Raw genomic sequence first — 26,074 nt, forward strand, 5'->3', positions numbered from 1 at the left:
TGTGATACACCAGCTCCCGCTTTGCCTTCCTAAGGCCTCACCATAGACAGATATGGCACTATGCTTCTTGTACAGCCTGCAGAACCATAAGCCAAAATAAACCTCTTTCTTTATAAATTGCCTAGTCTCAGGTATTCCTTTACTGCAACACAAAACAGACTGACACAAATGTTCATAATACTTTAATCTCTGAAAGTTATAATGAGTTATAACACTCTAATTTGAACTATACCAGCTTAACTTCAATAACATGCAAAAATTCTACTCCTTTACAGCTCTGTCTCCACCCTTTGGTTGATGATGTCACAAAATTATATTTTACAGATTGTGTGCCCCAAAATATAAACTAACAAGTCTTTTTTTTTTTTTTTAATGGAGTCTCACTCTGTCGCCCAGGCTGGAGTGCAGTGGTGCAATCTCAGCTCACTGCAACCTCTGCCTCCTGGGTTCAAGTGATTCTCCCACCTCAGCCTCCCAAGTAGCTGGGATTACAGGTGCCCACTACCGCGCCTGCCTAATTTTTGTATTTTTAGTAGAGATGGGGTTTCACCACATTGGCCAAGTTGGTCTCAAACTCCTGATCTTAAGTGATTTTCCCACCATGGCTTCCCAAAGTGCTGGGATTACAGGCATGAGCCGCCATGCCTGACCATAAATGAATAATTCTTTTAAATGCACTACTCTCTTAAATTGTGTAGAAAACACAATATGGGGTTGTAAACCAAAGTTACAATAATACTAAAAAGTGTTAGTCTTTTAAAGCATGTAGAAAACAAAAAGTGAAGTTACAAACCATTGTTATAATAATACTAGCTTTTATAATTGCCATAAATTTACCTTTATTTAGATCTGTATTTGTTCATATGGCTTTGAGTTACTGTTGAGTGTCCGATCATTTCATCCTGCAGGACTCCCTTGAGTGTGTTTTTCTTATTTTGTCTCACTAGTGATACTTTGAGCATTTCTTGCAGGGCAAGTCCAGTGGTAACAGGCTCCCTCAGTTTTTATTTACCTGGAAAGGTCTTAATTTCTGCCTCACTTTTGAAGGACAGTTTTGCTGAATATAAGATTCTTGGTTGACAGACTTTCCCCTGCCTGCCTTTTAGCACTTTGAATATAATGGCCCACAGCCTTCTGACCTTCAAAGGTCCTGATGAGAAACCTTCTAATAATCTTATTGAGGATCCCTTATATGTGATAAGTCACTTTTCTCTTGCTTCTTTAAATATTCTCTCATTGTTTTTGGTTTCCAAAAGTTTAATTACAATGTGTCTCAGTGTGGATCTCTGAGTTCATCTTACTTAGAGTTTTTTGAGCTTCTTGGATGTTTATACTCATGTCTTTCATTTAATTTGGGAAGTTTTCAGTCATTATTTCTTCAAATATTCTCTCTGCCCCAACTCTCTCTCTCTCCTCTTTCTGAAATTACCATAATACACACTTTTGTCCACTTGATTGTGTCCCACAGGTCCCTTTGGCTCACTTTTCTTCAATCTTTATTCTTTCTGTTCCTCAGACTCAATACTTTCCATTGTCCTTCTTCACATTCACTGATTCTTTCTTCTGCCTACACAAACCTGCCTTTTCTTTCTTTCTTTTTTTTTTTTTTTTTGAGACAGGATCTTGTTCTGTCCTCTTAGTAAAATTTTTATTTCAGTTATTGTACTTTCAACTTTAGAATTTCTTTTTGGGCCGGGTGCGGTGGTTCACGCCTGTAATCCCAGCACTTTGGGAGGCCAAGGCGGGCGAATCACAAGGTCAGGAGATTGAGACCATCCTGGCTAACATGGTGAAACCCGGTCTCTACTAAAAAAAAAATACAAAAAATTAGCCAGGCATGGTGGTGGGTGCCTGTAGTCCCAGCTACTCGGGAGGCTGAGGCAGCAGAATGGCATGAACCCGGGAGGCAGAGCTTGCAGTGAGCCGAGATTGTGCCACTGCACTCCAGCCTGGGCAACAGAGCGAGACTCCGTCTCAAAAAAAAAAAAAAACCAAAAAACGGCTGGGCGCGGCGGCTCACACCTGTAATCCCAGCACTTTGGGAGGCTGAGGCAGGCGGATCACGAGGTCAGGAGATCAAGATCATCCTGGCTAACAAGGTGAAACCCCATCTCTACTAAAAATACAAAAAATTAGCTGGGCGTGGTGGCGGGCACCTGTAGTCCCAGCTACTCGGGAGGCTGAGGCAGGAGAATGGCGTGAACCTGGGAGGCGGAGCTTGCAGTGAACCGAGTTCACGCCACTGCACTCCAGCCTGGGCGACAGAGCGAGACTCCATCTCAAAAAAAAAAAAAAAGAATTCCTTTTTGGTTTCTTTTTAGGTTTGCTGTTTTTAGATTAATATTTCCATTTTATTTATACATTATTTTCTTGATTTTTTTTCCCCACATCTTCCTTTAGTGATTTGAGCATCTTTAAGACAGTTGTTTTAGAAGAATCATTTGAACCCGGAAGGCAGAGGTTGCGGGGAGCTGAGATCACATCACTGCACTCCAGCCTGGGTGACTGAGAAACACTATCTCAAAAAAAAAAAAAAAGTTGTTTTATTTATTTATTTATTTATTTATTTATTTTTGAGATGGAGTTTTGCTCTTGTTGCCCAGGCTGGAGTGCAATGGTAGGATCTCAGCTCACCGCAACCTCCACCTTCCAGGTTCAAGGGATTCTCCTGCCTCAACCTTCTTAGTAGCTGGAATTACAGGCATGTGCCACCACGCCTGGCAAATTTTTTGTATTTTTAATAGAGATGGGGTTTCTCCACGTTGGTCAGGCTGCTCTAGAACTCCCAACCTCAGGTGATCCGCCTGCCTCGGCCTCCCAAAGTGCTGGGATTACAGGTGTGAGAAAAGACAGTTGTTTTAAAGTCTTTGTTTGGTATGTTTGCTATCAGGTCTTTTTCAGGCACAATTTCTGTTGCTTTATTATTATTATTTTTTGAATAGGCCAAACTTTTCTGTTTCTTTGTATAACTTATTTTTTTTTTGTTGAAAACTGGACAGTTGGATCTAATAATGTGGTTAACTCTGGAAAGAAGATGCTCTCCCTTTCCTACAATAGCAGGTAACCATCCTCCACCCCTGAGCCACTTGGCAGGCAGTTTGTGCATGTGTTCCTAGAGCACCTTGCAAACATCATGCGGGAGCCCAGGTGGGGAAAAAGGTCCCTGTCCTTCAAATATTAGGCATCTAAGCCATGATTGCTGATTACCGCTTCTGATCATAGAGGTGCAGACAAAGAGGTTGGCTGCCAAGGTTTGCTATTTTTATTACTGTTTATTTTTATTTGGGTAGGCAGTCTCTGTGCCAAGAATCATCTGAGATGTGAATTTTTTTAGTTTTTTTTTTTTTTTGAGACAGAGTCTCACTCTGTTGCCTAGGTTGGAGTGCAGTGGCGCGATCTTGGCTCACTGCAACCTCCATCTCCTGGGTTCAAGTGATTCTCCTGCCTCAGCCTCCCAAGTAGCTGGGACTACAGGCACATGCCACCATGCCTGGCTAATTTTTTGTATTTTTTGTAGAGATGGGGTTTCACCATGTTAGTCAGGATGGTCTCGATCTCCTGACCTCGTGATCTGCCTGCCTTAGCCTCCCAAAGTGCTGGGATTACAGGCGTGAGCCACCAGGCCTGGCAAATTTTTTTAACTTTTAAGTTCAGGGGTACATGTACAGGTTTGTTATACAGCTAAACTTGTGTCATGAAGGTTTGTTGTACAGATCATTTCATCACCCAGGTGTTAAGCCTAGTATCCATTAGTTATTTGTCCTAATCCTCTCCCTCCTCCCACCCTCCACCGTCTGGTAGGCCCCAGTGTCTGTTCCCCTCTATGGGTCCATGTGTTCTCATCACTTAGCTCCCATTTATAAGTGAGAACATGTGGTATTTGGTTTTCTGTTCCTGTGTTTGCTAAGGATAATGGCCTCTAGCTTCATCCATGTTCCTGCAAAGGACCTGATCTTGTCCTTTTTTATGGCTGCACAGTATTCCATGGTGTATATGTACCATCTTTTCTTTATCAGTCTACCTTTGATGGACATTTATGTTGATTCCGTGTCTTTGCTACTGTGAATAGTGTTGCAATGAACATATGCATGCGTCTTTTTTTTTTTTTTTTTGAGATGGAGTTTCACTCTTGTTGCCCAGGCTGGAGTGCAGTGCCGCGAACTCAGCTCACTGCAACCTCCGCCTCCCGGGTTCAACGATTCTCATGCCTCAGCCTCCCGAGTAGCTGGGATTATAGGCACCGGCCACCATACCCAGCTAATTTTTTGTACTTTTAGTAGAGATGGGGTTTCGCCATGTTGGCCAGGCAGGTCTTGAACTCCTGACCTCAGATGATCTGCCTGCCTCGGCCTCCCAAAGTGCTGGGATTACAGGCGTGAGTCAACACACCCGGCCTGCATGTGTCTTTATGATAGAACAATTTCTATTCATTTGGGCCTATATCTAATAATGGGATTGCTGGGCCAAATGGTAGTTCTGTTTTTAGGTCTTTGAGGAACCACCACACTGCTTTCCACAATGGGTGAACTAATTTACACTCCCATCAACAACATATACATGTTCCTTTTTCTCTGCAACTTTGCCAGCATCTGTTATTTTTTGACTTTTTAATAATAGCCATTCTGACTGGTGTGAGATGGTATCTCATTGTGGTTTTGATTTGCATTTCTCTAGTGGTCAGTGGTGTTGAGTTTTTTCTCATATGCTTATTGGCCACATGTATGTCTTCTTTTGAAAAATGTCTATTTATGTCCTTTGCCCACTTTTTAATCGTTTTTTTTCCTTGCAAATTTGTTTAGGTTCCTTATATATGCTGGAAATCAGGCTTTTTTCCAGATGGATAGTTTGGAAAATTTTCTCCCATTTTGTAGGTTGCCTGTTTACTCTGTTGACAGTTTATTTTGCTGTGCAGAAGCTCTTTCATTTAATTAGATCCTATTTGTCAAATTTTGCTTTTGTTGCAATTGCTTTTGGTGTCTTTGTCATGAAATCTTTTCCCGTTCCTGTGTACAGAATGGTAATTGCCTAGGTTGTCTTCCAGAGTTTTTATAGTTTTGGGTTTTATGTTTAAGAATTTAATCCACCTTGAGTTGATTTTTGTATACGATGTAAGGAAGGGGTCCAGTTTCAATCTCTGCATATGGCGAGCCAGTTATCCCAGCACCATTTATTGAATAGGGAGTTCTTTCCCCATTGCTTGTTTTTGCCAGCTTTGTCAAAGATCAGATGGTTGCAGGTGTGCCACCTTATTTCTGGGCTCTCTATTCTGTTCCATTGGTCTATGTGTCTGTTTTTGTACCAGTTGATGTAGAAACTTAAGGTCCTCTCAGATCTTTTCTGAGTTTTTCCCTGTGCATTCATGGTCACTTTCTGCTTTTCCCCATATATATAGTTATGTTTCAATGTCTTAGTCTTTCAAGTCTGGATCCCAAAAGAAGAAAAAAGAGAAAAATGAAGGGGAGAAAGAAAGGGCATCAACCACTTAAATGCCAGTCCTTTCAATCCCTTGGAAGTCACTTCAGCTGGAGTGGGAGGGGCTTGCAACAATTGGGGAAGATGCAACAACAATGGCAGCCAACCTCTTTGTCTGCACCTCTATGATCAGAAGCAGTAATCAGCAATCATGGCTTAGATGCCTAATATTTGAAGGACAGGGACCTTTTTCCCCACCTGGGCTCCCACAAGATGTTTGCAAGGTGTTCTAGGAACACATGCACAAACTGCCTGCCAAGTGGCTCAGGGGTGGAGGATGGTTACCTGCTATTGTATTCAGGAGCTGAATTTGACCAAATTTATACTCACTTTAGCATCCAAGCCTTCTCCTGGATGGTGCAAGCCTTCAGTAGACTCTAGAATTTCAAAATAGTTTCATCAGACAAATTCTGCCAGTGCAATTGTTGTTAGGTTGGGAGACAGATTCCTGGTGCCTTCTATTCTGTCATCTTCCCAGAATCCTGTATCAAGTAGCTGGGATTTTAACTGGGAATGTATTGAATCTATAAAGTCAGGAAGAATTGACATCTTAATAATATTAAGTCTTCCTCAGTATGGCGATTCCTCAAGGTTCTAGAACTAGAAATACCATTTGACCCAGCCATCCCATTACTGGGTATATACCCAAAGGATTATAAATCATGCTGCTATAAAGACACATGCACACGTATGTTTATTACGGCACTATTCACAATAGCAAAGACTTGGAACCAACCCAAATGTCCATCAATGATAGACTGGATTAAGAAAATGTGGCACATATATACCATGGAATACTATGCAGCCATAAAAAATGATGAGTTCATGTTCTTTGTAGGGACATGGATGAAGCTGGAAACCATCATTCTCAGCAAACTATTACAAGGACAGAAAACCAAACACCGCATGTTCTCACTCATAGGTGGGAATTGAACAATGAGAACACTTGGACACAAGAAGGGGAACATCACACACGGGGCGTGTCATGGGGTGGGGGAGGGGGGAGGGATAGCATTAGGAGATATACCTAATGTAAATGATGAGTTAATGGGTGCAGCACACCAACATGGCACGTGTATACCTATGTAACAATCTGCATGTTGTGCACATGTACCCTAGAACTTAAAGTATAATAAAAAATAATATAAGTCTTCCTATTCATGAACAATAAATAGCTCTTGATTTATTTCTTTGATTTCTTCCATCAGAGTTTTGTATTTTCCCTCATATAGATTATATGCATATTTTATTAGATTTATATCTAAGTATTTCATTTTTGGTGGTGCTAACGTAAATGGTACGATGCTTTTAATTTCACATTCTACTAGTTTACTGCCGGTATATTTAGCTGGTATATAGGATAGTGATTGAAATTTTTATATTGACTTTGTATCCTGCAATCTTGCTATAATTGTTTATTAGTTCCAGAAGGTTTTTTTGTAAATTCATTTGGATTTTTACATAGAAAATCATGTCTTCTGTGAACAAAGACAGTTTTTATTTCTTCTGTCCAAATCTATATAACTTATTTCCTTTTCTTTTCTTATTTCATTAGCTAAGAGTTCTAGTACAACATTGAAAAGGAGTGGTGAAAGGGAACATTCTGGCCTCGTACCTGATCTTAGCAAGAAAGCTTCCAGTTTCTTACCTTAAGTATGTTGTTAGCTTCAGGCTTTCTGTAGATGTTCTTTATCAAGTTGAAGACATTCTCCTCTATTCCTACTTCAATGAAAGTTTTTTTTTTTTTTGAGATGGGGCCTCACCGTGAACCCGGGAGGCGGAGCTTGCAGTGAGCCGAGATCCCGCCACTGCACTCCAGCCTGGGCGACAGAGCGAGATTCCGGCTCAAAAAAAAAAAAAAAAAAAAAAAAAAAAGAGATGGGGCCTCACTTTATTGCTCAGGCTGGAATTCAGTGGCGTGATCATGGTTCACTGCAGCCTCGACCTCCTGGGCTCAGGTGATACCTCCTGAGGAGCTGGGACTATAGGTGCATGCCACCACACCCAGATAATTTTTGGATTTTTTGTAGACAATTTTCGCCGGGTGCAGTGGCTCACGCCTGTAATCCCAGCACTTTGGGAGGCTGAGGTGGGTGGATCACCTGAGGTCAGGAGTTTGAGACCAGCCTGGCCAACATGGCGAAACCCCATCCCTACTAAAAATACACAAAATTAGCTGGGCATGGTGGTGGATGCCTGTAGTCCCAGCTACTCAGGAGGCTGAGTCAAGAGAATGGTGTGAACCCGGGAGGTGGAGCTTGCAGTGAGCCGATATCGCGCCACTGCACTCCAGCCTGGGCGACAGAGCGAGACTCCGTCTCAAAAAAAAAAAAAAAAAAAAAAGAAAGAAAGAAAGGAAACAAGGAGACAATAGAGGACAGACAGGGCAAGAAGCATTAAAAGATATTCTTCTTAGTAAATATGAATTAACAGAGACCAGTTTTAAAGTACGAATTCTCTAAGAGGATAGTTAAAATTTCAGTCATACCTTAAATCAGATTATTCAAATCAATCATATAGTGATATACTGAAATATTACTAAGCAGACGCTTTGATAGTTAAGAAAAGAGAAGGAAGAAGAAACTTTGCAAAGGAAAGGTCTAGATAGGGGAAGAATTTTGACAGCTTTCAGGCAGGATGAAGGGGCTAATTACCTGGAGGACAGGGATACTGAAAAAGCATGAAGGCATGAAGGAGATTGTTAATGACAAACTTTACCTCCTTTATAATTTTGCCTAAAACCATGGAGGCATCAGATGTTTGACTGGCTTGAAAACCTGTAACTTTCATTTTCTTTTATTCATACCTGCATTCCCATGCATCGTATTTAAATAAATATTCTTAAAAAGTAAAAACGAAAAATGAAATTTCCTCAGCCATTTATATTCCTTTGACTCTAGCCTCTTGTCATAAATGCTTAGCTTTACTATCTTCCTTCTTTTCTCGTCCTCTTTTACTTTTTGCTGCCCCATTCTTTGATGGAACAAAATCCTATTTCCTTCTATTTTTTTTACACACAGCAATTCATGTTTCTCTAGTCTTTATCCCAAAATCAGCTCTGGGGCTATGGAGATTCAAAAGCTCAGCTAATTATTTGAAAACCTTGTGTTTCAAACTCTGGCCATTAGAAAAGATCCATACCCTCTAATACCCTAGTATTAGAGGAGGGGTTTATTCTGTTATTACATTTTCTCTTTGGAGTGTTTTGCAAAGCTGCTGCACCCATTTTTTTTCTAAGAGTAGACTGAAAAAAAGACCAAACACATTATTAATTGTGGTAATTTTCTTGCTTATCTTTCTGTTCTGGGAAATGACTATAGCTTTTCTGCCTTTAGAGGGGTATTAGCTCCACTGCTCTCTTCAAGCTGTGCTTTTGGATTTGTGCCAGGCCTTACTGGGTAGCTAAGCTAGTTCAAAGGGGCAGCATATGCAGTAAGATCTATGGAAGAAGCAGTACTTCCAGGGTATCGGTTGTTACATCTTCCTCTTCTACCTCACTACCCTAACTTACCATCAGAACTAAGAAGAAACTTTACTTATATGGATGAACAAAAGAACAAAATAATCAACACTCAAAAATCAGAAACTAATTTAAAAATTAGCAATATAACCAATTAGAAAATGTAACAATAAACTATATTCAAAATAGTAAAGAATAAAACACCCAAGAATAAAAATAACTGTAGAAGATATATATGAAGAAAACTTTAAAACTTTCCTACAGGACATAACAAAAGACTGATTTCAATAGTGGCATACCACATAATCACTTTCTTTCCTCCTCTACAGCTAGAGATAACTATACGATATATTTCTGTCCAATGAGACAATAGAGTAAACGTGTATTTGCTTTGTAAACACTAATAGTGCTGCTCTCAGCTTTTTCCTTTTTGTTTTGAGATGGTCTCGTTCTGTCACCCAGGCTGGAGTGCAGTGGTGCTTGATCATGGCTCACTGCAGCCTCAACCTCCTGGGTTCAAGCAATGCTCCTGCCTCAGCCTCCTGAGTAGCTGGGACTTCAGGTACATGCCACCATGCCTGGCTAATTTTTTTTTTTTTTTTTTTTGAGACAGAGGCTCTCTCTTGTTGCCCAAGCTGGAGTGCAGTGGTACGATTTCGGCTCACTGCAACCTCCCCTCCTGGGTTCAAGTGATTCTCCTGCCTCAGCCTCCCGAGTAGCTGGGATTACAGACATGTACCACCACGCCTGGCTAATTTTGTGTTTTTATTAGAGAAGGGGTTTCTCCATGTTGGTCAGGCTGGTCTCGAACTCCCGATCTCAGGTGATCCGCCCAGCTCCGCCTCCCAAAGTGCTGGGATTATAGGCGTGAGCCATTGCGCCCGGCCTGCCTGCTAATTTTTAAATTATTTTTTGTAGAGACAGGGTTTCACTATGCTATCCAGGCTGGTCTTAAACTCCTGGGCTCAAGTGATTCTCCTGCCTCAGCCTCCCAAATACTGTGATTACAGGTGTGAACCACTGTACCCAGCCTCCTCTGGTCTTAAATGCTATTGTGATGGCCAGAGCTGCAACAGTCATCTTGGATGTATGAAGAAAAAGCATGAAGTCAAGAGCCAACATACTGAGGATGGAAGAGCAGAAATACAGAAAAACCGTTAAGTCCTCAATGACAGTGTTGAGCAGGGGAAACTGCCAAGAACTACCTACTTCCAGAATTCTTGTTATATGAGAAAATTAAAGCCATATTTTCAAAGCCAGTATTAGTTGGATTGTCTATTACAGGGAGCTACATACTTTTCTAGCAAAGTGTAAATACTACAAAAGACAATAAGTCTAATATCAGCCAGGTGCAGTGGCACATGCCAATAACTCAGGAGGCTGAGGTGGGAAGACTGCTTGAGCCCAGGAGTTCAAATCCAGCCTGGGCAACATAGCAAGACCCCATCTCCATACTTGATCTTAGCCAAAAGGCGATAAGCAGTAAGATCCGATTTCTAAAAAAAAAATAAAATAAAATCAGATGATGGAAGACAAAAAGAATAAAGGGAAAGAACAGGAAAGATTCCATTATCAATTGCGTCCTTCTCATAACAGTCATTAGATCAATCCAAAGAAAATGATCATTAGGGCATATATAAAGTTATTATAAATGCATTCAATAGAAAAAATTCAAACATTCTAAATTATCGGAATAAATATAAACAAAAACAAAGGAAAGGAAACACAGACCACATTTTGAAAATAATTAAGGCTATAGACATGAAAAGCATATCCCAATAATATGATATATTCCAAACCAAATACAATTTGTGTAAATAAATGTGAATACTTGGGAGTCTCTCTAAGCCTTCTCTGGCTAGAAGGGCTGCCCATAAAAAAATTTAAAAACATTTTTAGGCTGGTCACCGTGGCTCACACCTGTAATCCCTGCACTGTGGGAGGTCAAGGCGGGCGGATCACGAGGTCAGGAGATCGAGACTATCCTGGCTAACATGGTGAAACCCCATCTCTACTAAAAATACAAAAAATTAGCCAGGCATGGTGGCGGGCGCCTGTGGTCCCAGCTACTCAGGAGGCTGAGGCAGGAGAATGGCATGAACACGGGAGGCAGAGCTGGCAGTGAGCAAAGATGGCGCCACTGCACTCCAGCCTGGGCGACAGAGCAAGACTCTGTCTCGGAAAAAAAAAAAAAAAATTAGCTGGGCGTGTTGGCACATGCCTGTAGTCCCAGCTACTTAGGAGGCTGAAGCAGGAGAATTGCTTGAATCCGGGAGGTAGAGGTTGCAGTGAGCCGAGATCATGCCATTGCACTCCAGTCTGGGTAACAGAACAAGACCCTGTCTCAAAAAAGAAAAAAAAATTAAAAATTAAAAATTAAAAAAAGTGAATACTTAATATTACCTAGTAGGCTGGGAGCAGTGGATCATACCTGTAATCCCAACACACTGGGAGGCTGAGGTGGGAGAATTGTTTGTGGCCAGGAGTTCCAAGACCAGCTTGGAGCAACATAGCAAGAACCTATCTCTATAAAAAAAAAAAAAAAGTATATATAAAAGGAAAAATTGACAAATTGCATTTCATGAAAATCAAAAACTTCTGTTCTGTGAAAGACCCCATTAAGAAGAGGAAGAACAAGCTATAGAGTGGAAGAAAATATTTGCAAACCACATCTGACAAAGGACTAGGATATATAAAGAACTTTCAAACCCCAGCAATTAAAAAAGCACACAAAGGAAACAATCCAATGAGAATGGGCAAATACATGAACAGGCATCTCACCAAAGAGGATATACAGATAGCAAATAAACACATGAAAAGATATTCAACATCAATAGACATTAGAAAAATGCAAATTAAAAATCACAGTGAGACATTACTACACATCTATTGGAATGGCTAAAATAAAAACTAGTGATATCACCAAATGCTTTGAAGGATACAGAGAAACCAGATTATACAGATATTACTGGTGAGAATGTTAAATAGTACAGCCACTCTAGAAAACAGTTTGGCAGTCTCTTATAAACTAAACATGCAATTACTATATAACCCAGCAACTGAACTCTTGGGCATGTATCCCAGAGAAGAGAAAACTTATATTCACACACATAAAAACATGTACATGAATGGTCATAGCAGTTTTGTTCATAATAGCCCCAAACTGGAAATACTCTAAATGTCCTTCAATGAGTGAATGGTTAAACTGTGGTACATAAATACCATGGAATACTACTCAGCAATAAAAGGAACAAACTATTGATACACACAACTTCGATGGATCTCAAGGAAATTATGTTGAGTGAAAAGGCCAAACTTAAAGGTTTTATATTTATGATTCCATTTATAAAACAGACTTGAAATGACAAAATATGAGAGATAAAGAAAGAATGTGTAGCTGTCAAGGGTTAGGAATTGGGGGATGGGAGAAGGATAAAAGGGAGTTGTGGTTATTAAAGAACAGGAGGAGATCCTTGTGTTGATGGAACTGTTCTGTATCTTCACTGTGGTTGTGGATACACAAACTTACATGTAATCAAACTGCATAGAATTAAATACAATTAAGCTTCTAGAAGAAAACAGTTATCTCCATGACATCAGGGTAAGCAAAGATTTCTTAAACAGGACCCACACATAAAAATAACAGTAACCATGAAAGATCATTTGATACTTTGGATTTCGTTAAGATTAAGAATTTTTTTTTTTTTTAGATGGAATCTTGCTCTGTTGCATGGACTGGAGTGCAGGGACACAATCTCCGCTCACTGCAACCTCTGCCTCCCAGGTTCAAGTGATTCTCCTGCCTCAGCCTCCTGAGTAGCTGAGATTACAGGTGTGCACCACCACACTCAGCTAATTTTTGTATTTTTAGTAGAGACCGGGTTTCGCCATGTTGGCCAGGCTAGTCTCAAATTCCTGACCTCAAGGAATCCACCTGCCTTGGCCTCCCAAAGTTCTGGGATTACAGGCGTGAGCCACTGCGCTGGCCAGGCAAATATTAAAATTTTTGATAAGACAATCTTAGAGTGGGGAACATAAATTGGCACTGCCTCTACAGAGGGAAATTTAACAGCAACAAGAGAAATGTTTAAATGTTTAAAATATACTCTTTAATTCAATTCCTAGGAATTTAATCCTATAGATAAATTCATACATATGGAAAGTGATTTGCATTTGTAGTCATTCACTTCAGGATTATTGGTAAATCTGTAAACAACTTAGTCTATCATAGAAGACTGAAAAATAAATTATTATTTATTCAGTCAATAGAATACCGTTAAACTGTTGAGAAAAAGGAAGCTTTTTTTTTTTTTGAGACGGAGTTTCGTTCTTATTGCCCAGGCTGGGGTTCAATGGTGTGGTCTCGGCTCACTGCAACCTCCATCTCCTGGGTTCAAGCAATTCTCCTGCCTCAGCCTCCCGTAGCAGGGATTACAGATGCCTGCCACCACACCTGGCTAATTTTTTTGTATTTTTAGTAAAGACGGGGTTTCACCATGTTGGCCAGGCTGGTCTTGAACTCCTGACCTCAGATGATCTGCCTGCCTTGGCCTCCCAAAGTGCTGGGATTACAGGCGTGAGGCACGGCACCTGGCCAAGGAAGCTTTTTATGAATCAGTAAGGAAGTGTTAAAGACAAAAAAAAAATTTAAGGTGAGAAAACAATTATATGTATTATATATTTTTTATTTAAAAAATTTTAAAGTTTAAAAATGTTTAATTTTAGGGGCAGGGTCCTGCTGTGTCATGCAGGCCAGAGTGCGGTGGCCCAATCATAGCTCACTGCAGCCTCCAACTCCTGGGCTCAAGCAATCCTCCCTCCTCAGTCTCCTGAGTAGCTAAGATGACAGGCGTGCACCACCATTCCCAGCTAATTTTTTAAAAAATATTTTGTATGTGTGGCTGAGGAATTTACGTGGAGGTCAGAGTGGAAGCAAGTGTGAGAGGGTCCAGCAGAAGGAAACATGGCTGCCAAAGTGTTTGAGTCCATTGGCCTGGCCTTAGTTGTTGCAGGAGGCATGGTGAACTCTGCCTTGTTGCAGGAGGCATGGTGAACTCTGCCTTATATAATGTGGATGCTGGGCACAGAGCTGTCCTCTTTGACTGATTCTGGGGTACAGGACATTGTGGTAGGGGAAAGAACTCACTTTCTCATCCCATGGATACAGAAACCGATTACCTTTGTCATTCTCGACCACGTAAGGTGCCAGTCATCACAGTAGCAAAGATTTACAGAATGTCAATACCCCACTGCGCATCCTCTTCCTGCCTGTCCCTAGCCAGCTTCCTTGCATCTTCACCAGCATGGGAGAGGGCTGTGATGAGCCTGTGCTGCCATCCATCACTACAGACATCCTTAAGCAGGTGGTGGTTCGCTTTGAGGCTGCAGAAGCAATCACCCAGAGAGAGGTGGTCTCCAGGCAGGTGAAGGATGACCTTATGGAGCAGTAGCCACATTTTATTTAGCTCATGCTGGATGACACCTCCTCGACACATCTGACCTTTGGGAAGGAGTTCACAGAAGCAGTGGAAGCCAAACAGGTGGCTCAGCAGGAAGCAGAGAGGGCCAGATTTGTGGTGGAAAAGGCTGGGCAGCAGAAAAAGGCAACCATGATATCTGCTGAGGGCGACTCCAAGGCAGCGGAGCTGACCGCCACCTCACTGGCCACTGTGGGGACTTGCCTGATGGAGCCATGCCAGCCAGAAGCCACTGGGGATACCACGTGCCAGCTCTTATGCTCCTGAGGCGGGGCAGTACCTGCTCCTCCAGCTGCCCCAGTGAGGCCCCACCTGCCTGCATCTATGCGGGCCAACTGGGCCACAGCCCCGATGATTCCAAACACCGCCTTCCTTCTCTCCCTACCCCAGGAATCACTGTGAAATTTCATGATTCGCTTAAAGTGAAGGAAATGAAAGTAAATTACTTCAGGCTGGGAGCAGTGGCTCACGCCTGTAATCCCAGCATTTTGGGAGGCTGAGGTGGTAGATCACTTGAGGTCTGGAACTCGAGACCAACCTGGCCAACATGGTACTACAAATACAAAAATTAGCTGGGCGTAGTATGCCTGTAGTCCCAGCTACTCGGGAGGCTGAGGCAGGAGAATCGCTTGAACCTGGGAGGCAGAGGTTGCAGTAAGCTGAGATTGCACCACTGCACTCCTGGGCGACAGAGCGAGACTCCATCAAAAAAATAAAAGGACAGGGTCTTGTTGTGTTGCCCAAGCCAATCTTGAACTCCTGACCTCAAGTGATCCTCCTGCCTCGGCCTCCCAAAGTACTGAGATTATAGGACTTAGCCAGACATACATACATACATATATATAATATATATATCATAATATTTATATATACACAAACATACACATATATACACCACACATTTTTAAAGGTAAAAAAGAATTGTACATATATATATACACTTTATATGTATATATACATTTATAGCTGAAAATGCATTGTATTTGTATATATACATATACTTATATATGCATATATGTAAATATGTAAAATATAAAATTTTGATTAAAAGGAAGACATAAGTGGTTAAAAAAAAACACACAAAAACCAAGCCTATCCCCTTACTTCTAGACTGCTTCTCTTCACTTCATACTGTGTATCACTTGGTCAATTCCTAAAATGCCAGCCTTCATCAGTTTGTTGTTAAAATGTAAAATTGTGATTCAGTAGATTCTGGGCGAGATTGGTGGGATTGGGATCTGAGGTTCTGTGTTTCCTTTTTTTTTTTTTTTTTTTGGAGGCAGGGTCTTGCTCTGCTGCTCAGGCTGGAGAGCATAGTGGTGCAATCACACCTCACTGCAGCCTCAACCTACCCTCCCACCTCAGCCTCCCGGGTAGCTGGGACTATAGGCAAGTGCCACCATGCTCCGCTATTTTTTGTAGAGGTGGAGTTTCTTTCACCATATTGCCCAGGCTAGTCTTGAACTCTTGAGCTCAGGTGATCTGCCTGCCTAGGGCCTCTTGTGGATTACAGGTGCGAGCCACCATGCTTGGCTGGTTCTCCAATTCTAACAGCTCCTACGTGATGCTTCTTTTGAGTAGGAAAGAGCTAGAATGTACAGCCTTTGAATTCACATCACATTTACTATATGCAACTTTGTTTTATAATGTGTGAATACCTTGCCTACTCACTTGTATTTTAAATTCCAAGAAAGCTTCTAGCAGCACTTGAACAGCTGATTATTCTTTCCTTCTCAAAACATTTTTTCTTTCTGCTTCCTTGACATTACAGTCCCCTACTTTTGCTTGTACCTCAATGGCCTCACCTTTCAGTCTTTGCATGTGCTTAATAAGTAAGTAAATCTTTATGTAGACTCATTACCTATTATTAAGTATAATATATACTGAAGTGAACACCATGCCATAGCTCCTGAATGGTTCTAGAGAGCCTTTCTCAGACTGTGTCCCTCAATAAGAGTTTACATATTTTGTAGGTAGGACAATAGCCTTATGAATGAAGTCTTGGTGATGCAGCCAGAAACTCAGAGACTCTAAGTCAAATACTCATTGGTTAGATCAAATATAATTTTGCCATAGTCTGAGGATTACAGCAGGTCACATTATGCTAATCTTAAAGTATGTGTTGGGCTGAACCTTGCCATATGTATTTTTTAAAAGACTTTATTTTTTAGAGCAGTTTTGGAGCAGCAAAATTAAGAGGACAGAGATTTCCAACATATCCCCTGCCCTCCTCACAATATATTTTACACATGAATAGTTAGGATATTTTCAGCTGTATATAGTGAGACCTAATTCACACCAGCTAAAACAATATGGAATTTTATTATCTCACAAAACAAAGTTCAGTGGTTAGGGTGTCTAGAGCCACGCTCTGGCTCCATTTCTATGCTATTTTCTCAGCTCTGCCTTCCTGAGGGTGTAGGGTTCATCCTTAAATGGCTTTCTTCTTGGCCACATGATGGCTGCCAGCAGCAGTAGTGATAACATGTACCCTTCTTCAAGTATAGGTGAAGAGAAAGGAAACCTCTCACCTACTATTGAATGTAAGTCTTTCCCTTCAGTTTGATTGGTCAATGTAGGTTCTCTCCCTGACCAGTAATAGTCACCGTAAGAATGCTATGTGCTGATTGCCTTAAGCCTAGTTCTGGAGCAAGTAACAAACATTGGCATGGAAGTAGGAATACCATGTTTTCACTAGTCCTAATAAAACAGCTAGGGCTAGGGATAAGGTGAGCTTCAAAGAATTATATAGAATTCATGGAAGAGAGGAGGAATGTTAAACAAAAGCAAAGTTCTTTAGGAAGGAGAAGGGGAAAAATAAATTCTGAAATTAACTAAGTTATATTACTATGCTAATAGTAATTGTATAATAGCTTTTATAATAAATTTTTTGCTTGTTCTCTATATAGCTAGCCTCAGAGTGAGATGTACACTGATATATTTGATAGTGAAACCTTAAATACAAGTGCCAAGAAGTATGAGCACATAATTCATAAATTAAGACACAGAGTCTTAATTTGTGAAAAAGTACCATTACATCCAGCTTCCTGGGTTTTACCATTGAACTCAACAGATATTCTGCCTATTTCCATGTTTCCATTAACATAGCCCCAAATTATGTGAAAACTGACACGTATGCCCAATTGATTATTAAGACATGGAGAAATTCTACTTTCTTTTTCTCTTTTTTTTTTTTTTTTTTTTGAGTCAGAGTCTTGCTCTGTTGCCCAGGCTGGAGTGCAATGGTGCAATCTTGGCTCACTGCAACCTCTACCTCCCAGATTCAAATGATCCTTCTGCCTCAGCCTCCTGAGTAGCTGGGATTACAGGAGGATGCCACCACACCCAGCTAATGTATTTTTGGTAGAGACGGGGTTCCACTATGTTGGCCAGGCTGGTCTCGAACTCCTGACCTCAGGTGATCTGCCCACCTCGGCCTTCCAAAGTGCTGGGATTACAGGCGTGAGCTATGGTGCCCTGCCGAAGAAATCCTACTTCTCTGCCTAAACTTGAGTAGAGGTTTCTAAAGTTTAAAATAGAATTTAAACCTCGTCCCCATCCTCCTTTGCTTAGATATCATACTATCAAGGACTTGTTTATGTAATAGATTTTATATTGAAGGTATTCAAGCAGAAGCTATACTAATGTTATTGATGGTACTGGTACATCTGATAAATGACTGGTCTGGAGAATGCTTCCTAGGCCTAGCTGATTGAGAGAATAACTCAGAAGTTTTAAACAATACAGATTCCATATCCTGATCATACTTAATCAGAATCTCTGAAGATGGAGCCAAAGATATGTATCTCTCAGAAGCACTACTAATAATTTTTTACAGCCAATCCAGGACCAGCTCCTGGGTAATTATTTAGGAATCTCTGGACTAAATTTTCTAAAAGACCCATTTAAATATACAATTTTAATAACTTTTGACAGTGGAAATAGCATTGCACTAGAAATTAGGTGACTGAAATTCTAGTGCCAGCTCTGCTATTGGTTACTTTGATGACAGGCAAGTTGGTTTACCCTGTGGAGCCTCAGTTTTCCCTTCTGTAAAATTAGGGATGTCTAAAGTCCCTTCCAGCTCCAAACTCAGTCAATTTTACTTGTTTGGGCATTCTGAGGAACCAAGAGTTGATTATAAAGATTCTAATTTCTAATACCTCTAGCTGTTTTTAAGGGCACATAAAGAGCTTACATAGACACTGCCATCTCAGAAGAAAGGTTCAAGATGGGGTCCATAGAACTCTTAAGAGTGCTATCATTGTTTTGGTAACTTTGAACAAATTTTCCTATAAAAACTGGGGACAAAATACTATAAATATGTGAACAAAAGTCTCTTTGTTACCAGTGGTTAATGGGTATCCCTGCAGCTACCACCTGAAACAGTTTTGGCTCTGACTCCAGAACCAAACTTTCTGGCCTTTAACTGTTTGGTAGGGTGATATAATTCATGTTATACAGCATACTGGTCCAGCTTTTAGAATATATATATATATATATATATATATTTTTTTTTTTTTTTTTTTTTTTTTTGAGATGGAGTTTAGCTCTTGTTGCCCAGGCTGGAGTGCAATGGCACAATCTCGGCTCACTGCAACCTCTGCCTCCTGGGTTCAAGCAATTCTCCTGCCTCAGCCTCCTGAGTAGCTGGGATTACAGGTGCCCGCAACCACGCCCAACTAATTTTTGTATTTTTAGTAGAGATGGGGTTTCACCATGTTAGGCTGGTCTGGAACTCCTGACCTCAGGTGATCCCCCCGCCTCGACCTCCCAAAGTGCTGGGATTATAGGCGTGAGCCACAATGCCTGGATGTAGTTTGTTGGTTGGTTTGTTAAGAACTAATTGTTATGGTAAGATTTGCCTTAGCCTGGGCATGGTGGCTCATGCCTATAATCCCAGCACTTTGGGAGAATAAGACCAGAGGATCCTTGAGTCCAGGAGTTCGAGACCAGCCTGGGCAATATAGTGAGACCCTGTCCCTACAAAAAATTTTAAAAAGTTAGCTGGGTGTGGTGGCGTGCGCCGGTAGTCCCAGCTACTCAGGAGGCTGAGGTGGGAGGATCATTTGAGCCCACGAGGTTGAGGCTGCAATGAACCATGATCACACCACTGCACTCCAGCCTGGGAGACAGAGTGAGGCCCTGTTTCAAAAATTAAATAAATAAAACAAAATAAAATTATCCTATGGTCCACTTCTCTTCTGATTATCTTACTGTAATTAACTCTAGTTTGTTTCCTGACTCATAATTTCCCTCTCCACACCATGCCCTTTTCTCTCTTCTCTGCTTCCATACACAAATTCAACTTCTTCAACCCCTTGTTTTACACATTTTTAGTGACACTCTTGCCCGTGATGTTATCATTTAAAAACTTTATTTAGGCTGGGTGCAGTTGCTCACATCTGTAATCCCAGCACTTTGGAAGGCTGAGGTGTGCGGATCACCTGAGGTCAAGAGTTCGAAACCAGCCTGGCCAGCATGGTGAAATCCTGTCTCTACTAAAAATACAAAAATTAGTCCGGCATGGTGGTGGGCTCCTGTAATCCCAGCTACTCAGGAGGCTGAGGCAGGAGAATCACTTGAACCCAGGAGGCGGAAGTTGCAGTGAGCCTAGATCACACCATTGCACTCCAGCCTAGGCGACGGAACGAGACTCCATCTAAAAAAAAAAAAAAAAAAAACAAAACTCCAAAAAAACTTTATTTACACTGAGTAACAAATAGCTAGTGTTTATTGAATGCTTACCATGCGCCAGGCACTGTATTAAGCATTTTACATACAATATATCAATTGTTATACTTTTATTTTGAGTACTATTAGATCCTCCACTATACAGATAAGACCCAGAAATATTGAGTAACTTGCCCAAAATTACATAACTAGTTAGGTGGTGACGTAGGATTTGAAATCAAGCATTTAGACTCCAGAGCCTCTACTCTATTGTCTCCTATAAAAGCAAGGATTAAAGAAAAGTAGGCCAGGCGTGGTGGCTGATGCCTGTAATCCCAGCACTTTGGGAGGCCGAGGTGGGTGGGTCACGAGGTCAAGAGCTCGAGACCATCCTGGCCAACATGATGAAACCCCGTCTCTACTAAAAACATAAAAATTAGCTGGGTGTGGTGGTGGGTGCCTGTAGTCCCACCTACTCGGGAGGCTGAGGCAGGAGAATCACTTGAACCCGGGAGGCGGGGGTTGCAGTGAGCTGAGATTGTGCCACTGCACTCTAGCCTGGCCACAGAGTGAGACTCCATCTCAAAAAAAAAAAAAAAAAAAAAAAAAAAGAAAAAGGAAAGTGTACTACACTATGATGAAAGAGATGAGAGTTTTGTGTTTTTTTGATAGTAACTAGCTAATATATCACTATGGACAGGTCATAATTGTTCTGATTTTCTCATTCATATATAAGTTGAAGTAGAACCAACTACTGTGTCATAATACTCTGTGATTCTGTTATGTGAAAAGTGTATCTTTTGATCTTTTGTCTCCTGATATGAAAGGACTTTGGCATTTCAGCCCCTTCTCCTATATTTTCATATTTATTCTAGCACTAGCTTACATTCTAACAGTGAAACACAGGTAAATATGTATTTTATGTGTGTTCTGTTTCTATTTCTGTAAAGCAAAATGTATCTGAGTAGCATAAAATTTTTAGAAAATTTCAAGTCTCATCCCTATTTTTCTGGTACTTTTAGATCTGATATCTTGATGATGGCAGAAGTGGCTTAAAGTTGGAAAATTATTGTGGTTTTGCCCAACGTGGCAAATCAGTGCTTTTTATTTTGTATATAATGTGTAATTTTCACAGCTATAACAATTGGTTATTATATATTGATCTTTGAAAAAGCAATGTATTCCAGTAGCATTTTTTTAAACAGGGTCTTGCTCTGTCACCCAGGCTGTAGTTCAGTGGTGTGATTGTAACTCACTGTATCCTCAATCTCCCAGGCTCAAGTGATCCTCCCACCTCAGCCTCTTGAATAGCTGGGACCACAGTGAGCACCACTTTTTAAATTTTTTGTAGAGATGGGGTCTCAATATATTGACCAGGCTGGTCTCAAACTCCTGGGTTCAAGCAATCCTCCTGCATCAGCCTCCCAAAGTGCTGGGATTACAGTGTGAACCATCATGCCCCACTAGTATTTTCTTTTGTGTTCCTATCTATTTCTTGAATTCATGTTTCCTTATGTTTATCAAGCCTAGTTTCTTTTACTTTTAGGAATTAAGGCTGAATTAGGACTTTTAATGACTCCCATACTAAAACTTCTTATCCTTTTAAAGCTGAAATACATTGGGAGGATCAGCAAGGTCAGAGAAAGAGAGGGTAGGTGGGGATAAGAGAGTAAAGCCCTTTTGCAAATAGGCATACTTACACAGACTGAAAGCAGGCCCTTCAATCTCTCTGCAAGTATTTAATCTCTCTACAAAAATTAAAGTGTGTTTGCTTGTTATCTTTTTCATTCTTTGGAAAACATTTTAGCTATCGTTACTATTATTTTGACATTTTATATTTGCCTTTTTTTTGGAGGAGTCAGTACTGAAGGGGGAATTTAACTTTTAAAATGGCCACTTATACATAACTAGCATAGAAGCAGAAGAAAATATAGGTAAGCAAGAAAAGAAAGATCATTTTAATTGGAATGTGATGGTGGCACAACTCTGTAAATGTATTAAAACTCATTGAATCATATACTTAAAATGGATGAATTTGCCTCTTTTTTCTTTGTTCAACCACATACGATAACCATCTTTCCAGGTCAATTCATATTCCACAATATCATTTTAAATGGGGACACAATTTTCGATTTTATATTATGTAATTTGTTTTAATTTTTTTTTTTTTTTTTGAGACGGAGTCTTGCTCTGTCGCCCAGGCAGGAGTGCCGTGGTGCGATCTTGGCTCACTGCAAGCTCTGCCTCCCAGGTTCAAGCAATTCTCCTGCCTCAGCCTCCCGAGTAGCTGGGACTACAGGTGCATGCCACCACGCCCGGATAATTTTTTGTATTTTCAGTAGTGATGGGGTTTCACCATGTTAGCCAGGATGGTCTCGATCTCCTGACCTCATGATCCGCCTGCCTTGGCCTCCCAAAGTGTTGGGATTACAGGCGTGAGCCACCACGCTCGGCCATAATTTGTTTAACCAATTGATTCCCTGAACATTTTTGCAGCTAAAGTTTGGTACAAATTTTTTTAGGTTAAATTACTAAAAGAATTATTGCTAGATCATAGGGCATGCTCATTTAAAGGTTTTTCTTACAAATTGCCCTCTAAAAAAACTACCAATTTATACTCCTATAAGTAGTCATTCTGTCCTTGCACTTCTCCCTTCGAAACTCAGTATTAGTATTTTATAAAGTCTCTATTATTCTGAAAGGTAGAAATGATAGCTTGTTATCAATTTCCATTTCAATTACTAATAAAGTTGAACTTTTCGTCATTTATTAGACATTTGTATTTCAGTTTATGTTCTCTGTCCCTCTCTCCAAAACACTAGCATGTGTACATGTGTTTCTTATTCATTCATATGACTTTTATACATTAAGGATAAATAACTTCATGTCATATATTTTGTAAGTATTTTTCCAGTTTGTATCTTTTATTTATGTTGTTTTTGCAGAAGTATCAAATTATATGGTCATACCTATCAATCTTTTGCTTTATAGATATTGCCTTTGGTGCTATCCTTGATAAGGCCTTCCCCACTCTCAAATATTTAAATATTCAACAATATTTCTCCCACTAATTTTATGTTTTCTTTCTTCAGACCTTTATGTAGATTTTATTTTTATATATAACATAGGACAAGGATATAACTTGGTAAAACGAATGGGGAGACAAATTTTTACCTTATTTATTGCATGTCTTCTAAATATCAAAAACTGTGTTATATATGGTTTGTAGTAATAAACACAGCAGGGATGTTCTCATCCTTATGTAATTTACCAACTCAGAGAGACAACATACTGTTTAAGTGCAAATTTGATAAATGCTATAAAGAAGTGCTAAGTTCTATGGTAGTGTATAGTATGTGGAATCTATCAACTGTTCAGGTACTTATTGAACAGTTGATCTTTAAAAGGAGATGGTTTGGTGGAAGTGGAGGAGAATTCAATTAAAAAACAACAGGGCACAGTGGTGTACGTTTGTAATCCCAGCTACTCAGGAGGCTGAGGTGGAAGTACTGCTTAAACCCAGGAGTTAGAGACCAGCTTGGGCAGCATAGGGAGACCTCATTTTTTGGGGGGAGGGGGAATACCCAAAAAACCCAACCATACACACACAAAACCAACCAAACAAAAAACAACAATGAACATTTATTATTTCAGAGTATCCCTGGGTCAGAATCTGGGTGTGGCTTAGCTGGGTTCTCTGTTTCAGGATCTCTCGCAAAGATGCAAACAAAAGTCTTGCCCAGGGCTGCGATCGCATCTGCAGGAAGATTCACTTCCAAGTTTGCTTACATGGTTGTTGGCAGAATGCAGCTCCTCATAGGCTGTTAAGCCAAGGCTTTCAGTTCTTTGGTAGGAATTCAGTTCCTCACAGGTTTTTTGGTGGCTGGAGATCTCCTTTAGTTCCTTGGCATATAGGTCAGAATAATTTATTTTTGTCCTAGGGTGGGTACTTAAGCTTTGATAAAACTGATTTATAATGTCTTTATGGAGTAAAAATTAGCACAGCATTCATGTTCTTAGCTCTATATTCAAGAATAAAATAAGTGTGTATATTCTGTGAATATTCTGGTTGGTATACATTTTTGGCCTGTATGTAAATTAATATGTGGGTGACTTAAACATTCACAGAGAATTAATTATATATTGCAAAGGACAAACACATAATTCTGTTCAAGATAGGAATGTCAAGAAAACTTTAAGATGATTTTGTCTTTTAATCACATCATGGTTATAATTTCAAATGATTTTTCATTCCCTCCTTTCCTTCCCATCACACAGACTATACTGTAAATATACTCTCTGAAGTTGCACAACGTGACAAGCTTAAGCTTAGCCACACAAGTATGTGCATATACAATTATTTTATTTTTTGATCTGATGCTGACAGTGCTGTGCGTTTTACCTGAACTCAGAAAATTTAATTTCTAAATTATAATATATGGTTAGATATTTACTAAAATCCTGAAACTAGAATTTTACTCCCAATCTTAGACCTTGCAAATGGTAACTCTAGTTTAGTGTACACATTTTCAACATGGGCAATATTACTCCCCAAGAGGAAAAAATTGTTTTTTTGGGAGGGTATGAAAAAAAGTATGTTTTATATATAAAGCATAGATACACATACAGTCCATTAAAGCATATACAGTGTATCTATGGTGTTAAAATTTTACAGTGGGGTGCTGAATAGGAAAAACAGGTCTAAAAGGGTTCCATAAGGGGGCTGATAATGGAAATAAAAGTTGAGAAACATGGCCCTAGTGCTAAGCTTAACAGACAGCTGTTTGACGAACCATCTGGCATTAGATTTTTTTCCTGCATGATTTCCTGTATTAGAATATAAGCTTCTTAAGGACAGAAAATGTAATCTGATTTGTATTTTCAATAATAGCTAACACAATAGTTACGTTCAACTGCATTCAGTATATGTATATTTAATTGAATTAATATGGAGTACATCTTCCCCTACTTGCACTCATCCTATTAGCTCTATAAAATCTAAATGTAATGACCAAAATTAGTCTAGTAAAGCACAACCTATCACAATCTCCCTCACAAAAATCCTAGTAAAATAATGACAAATTTTATTCAAAGAATGGAAAATCTTCAAAGTAGCATAAGAGAAGGAGTACAGACTAGAGACAGAGAGATGAATCAGGGCTTTGATTTCCACCTCTTATCATTTGCAAGCCGAGGAGCCTTGAGCCAAGTTATGTAAAGAGAAAGTGAAAGAGGATAAAAAAGAATAAAAAAGGGACCTTTCTAGGGGAAGGGTACAAGAAGGGACAATGGCATTTCTAGCAGGTTTTTGTTTTGTTTTGAGACAGGGTCTCGCTCTGTCTCCAGGCTGGAGTGCAGTGGTGCGATCTTGGCTCACTGCAACCTCTGCCTCCCGGGTTCAAGCGATTCTTGTGCCTCAGCCCTCCCCCCGAGTAGCTGTGATTACAGGCAAGTGCCACTAGGTTTGGCTAATTTTTTGTATTTTCAGTAGAGACAGGGTTTCGCCATGTTGGCCGGGCTGGTCTCAAACTCCTAGCCTCATGTGATTCGCCTGCCTCGGCTCCCAAAGTGCTGGGATTACAAGCATGAGCCGCCGTGCCTGGCCCTAACAGTCTTATATACACCCAAAATTTCAGGCATGCTGAATTTCTGGCAGTTCCCCAAATAATGCATGGCTCAAATATGCCGTATTTCACACTTACATATTTTATATATACATTCACATTCCTCTTCCCAGAACATCATTTATTTGTCCTCCAATACTCAGCTCAGGTCACACTTTTTTTTTTTTTGGATGGAGTCTTGCTCTGTTGCCCAGGCTAGAGTGCAGTGGCACGATCCTGGCTCACTGCAAACTCTGCCTCCCAGGTTCACGCCATTCTCCTGCCTCAGCCTCCCAAGTAGCTGGGACTACAGGCGCCCGCCACCACACCTGGCTAATTTAAAAAAATATATATTTTAGTAGAGACGGGGTTTCACCGTGTTAGCCAGG

General features: G+C 40.3%; 1 long non-coding RNA gene and 1 pseudogene across 1 annotated transcript in view, besides 2 other annotated features; one reads left to right on the plus strand and one right to left on the minus strand.

Moving 5' to 3' along the window:
• The window catches only part of TMEM202-AS1 (TMEM202 antisense RNA 1), a 66,461-nt gene that overhangs the window by 28,984 nt on the left and 11,403 nt on the right, over nucleotides 1-26,074 (minus strand). The gene's annotated exons all lie outside the window — the stretch shown is intronic.
• PHB1P20 (PHB1 pseudogene 20) lies at nucleotides 13,824-14,860 on the plus strand (annotated as a pseudogene).
• Nucleotides 14,660-15,159: an enhancer, noted in NCBI's record as "H3K4me1 hESC enhancer chr15:72743763-72744262 (GRCh37/hg19 assembly coordinates)". NCBI's record gives its function as "activates a minimal SCP1, AML or CMV promoter by ChIP-STARR-seq in naive H9 embryonic stem cells {active_cell/tissue: H9 hESC(naive)}" and the evidence as "EXISTENCE:reporter gene assay evidence [ECO:0000049][PMID:30033119]".
• Nucleotides 25,244-25,513: an enhancer, noted in NCBI's record as "active region_9722". NCBI's record gives its function as "activates an Ori minimal core promoter by ATAC-STARR-seq in GM12878 lymphoblastoid cells {active_cell/tissue: GM12878}" and the evidence as "EXISTENCE:reporter gene assay evidence [ECO:0000049][PMID:35858748]".

This window comes from Homo sapiens, chromosome 15, assembly GCF_000001405.40.
Source record: "Homo sapiens chromosome 15, GRCh38.p14 Primary Assembly".
Taxonomy (NCBI): Eukaryota; Metazoa; Chordata; class Mammalia; order Primates; family Hominidae; genus Homo; species Homo sapiens.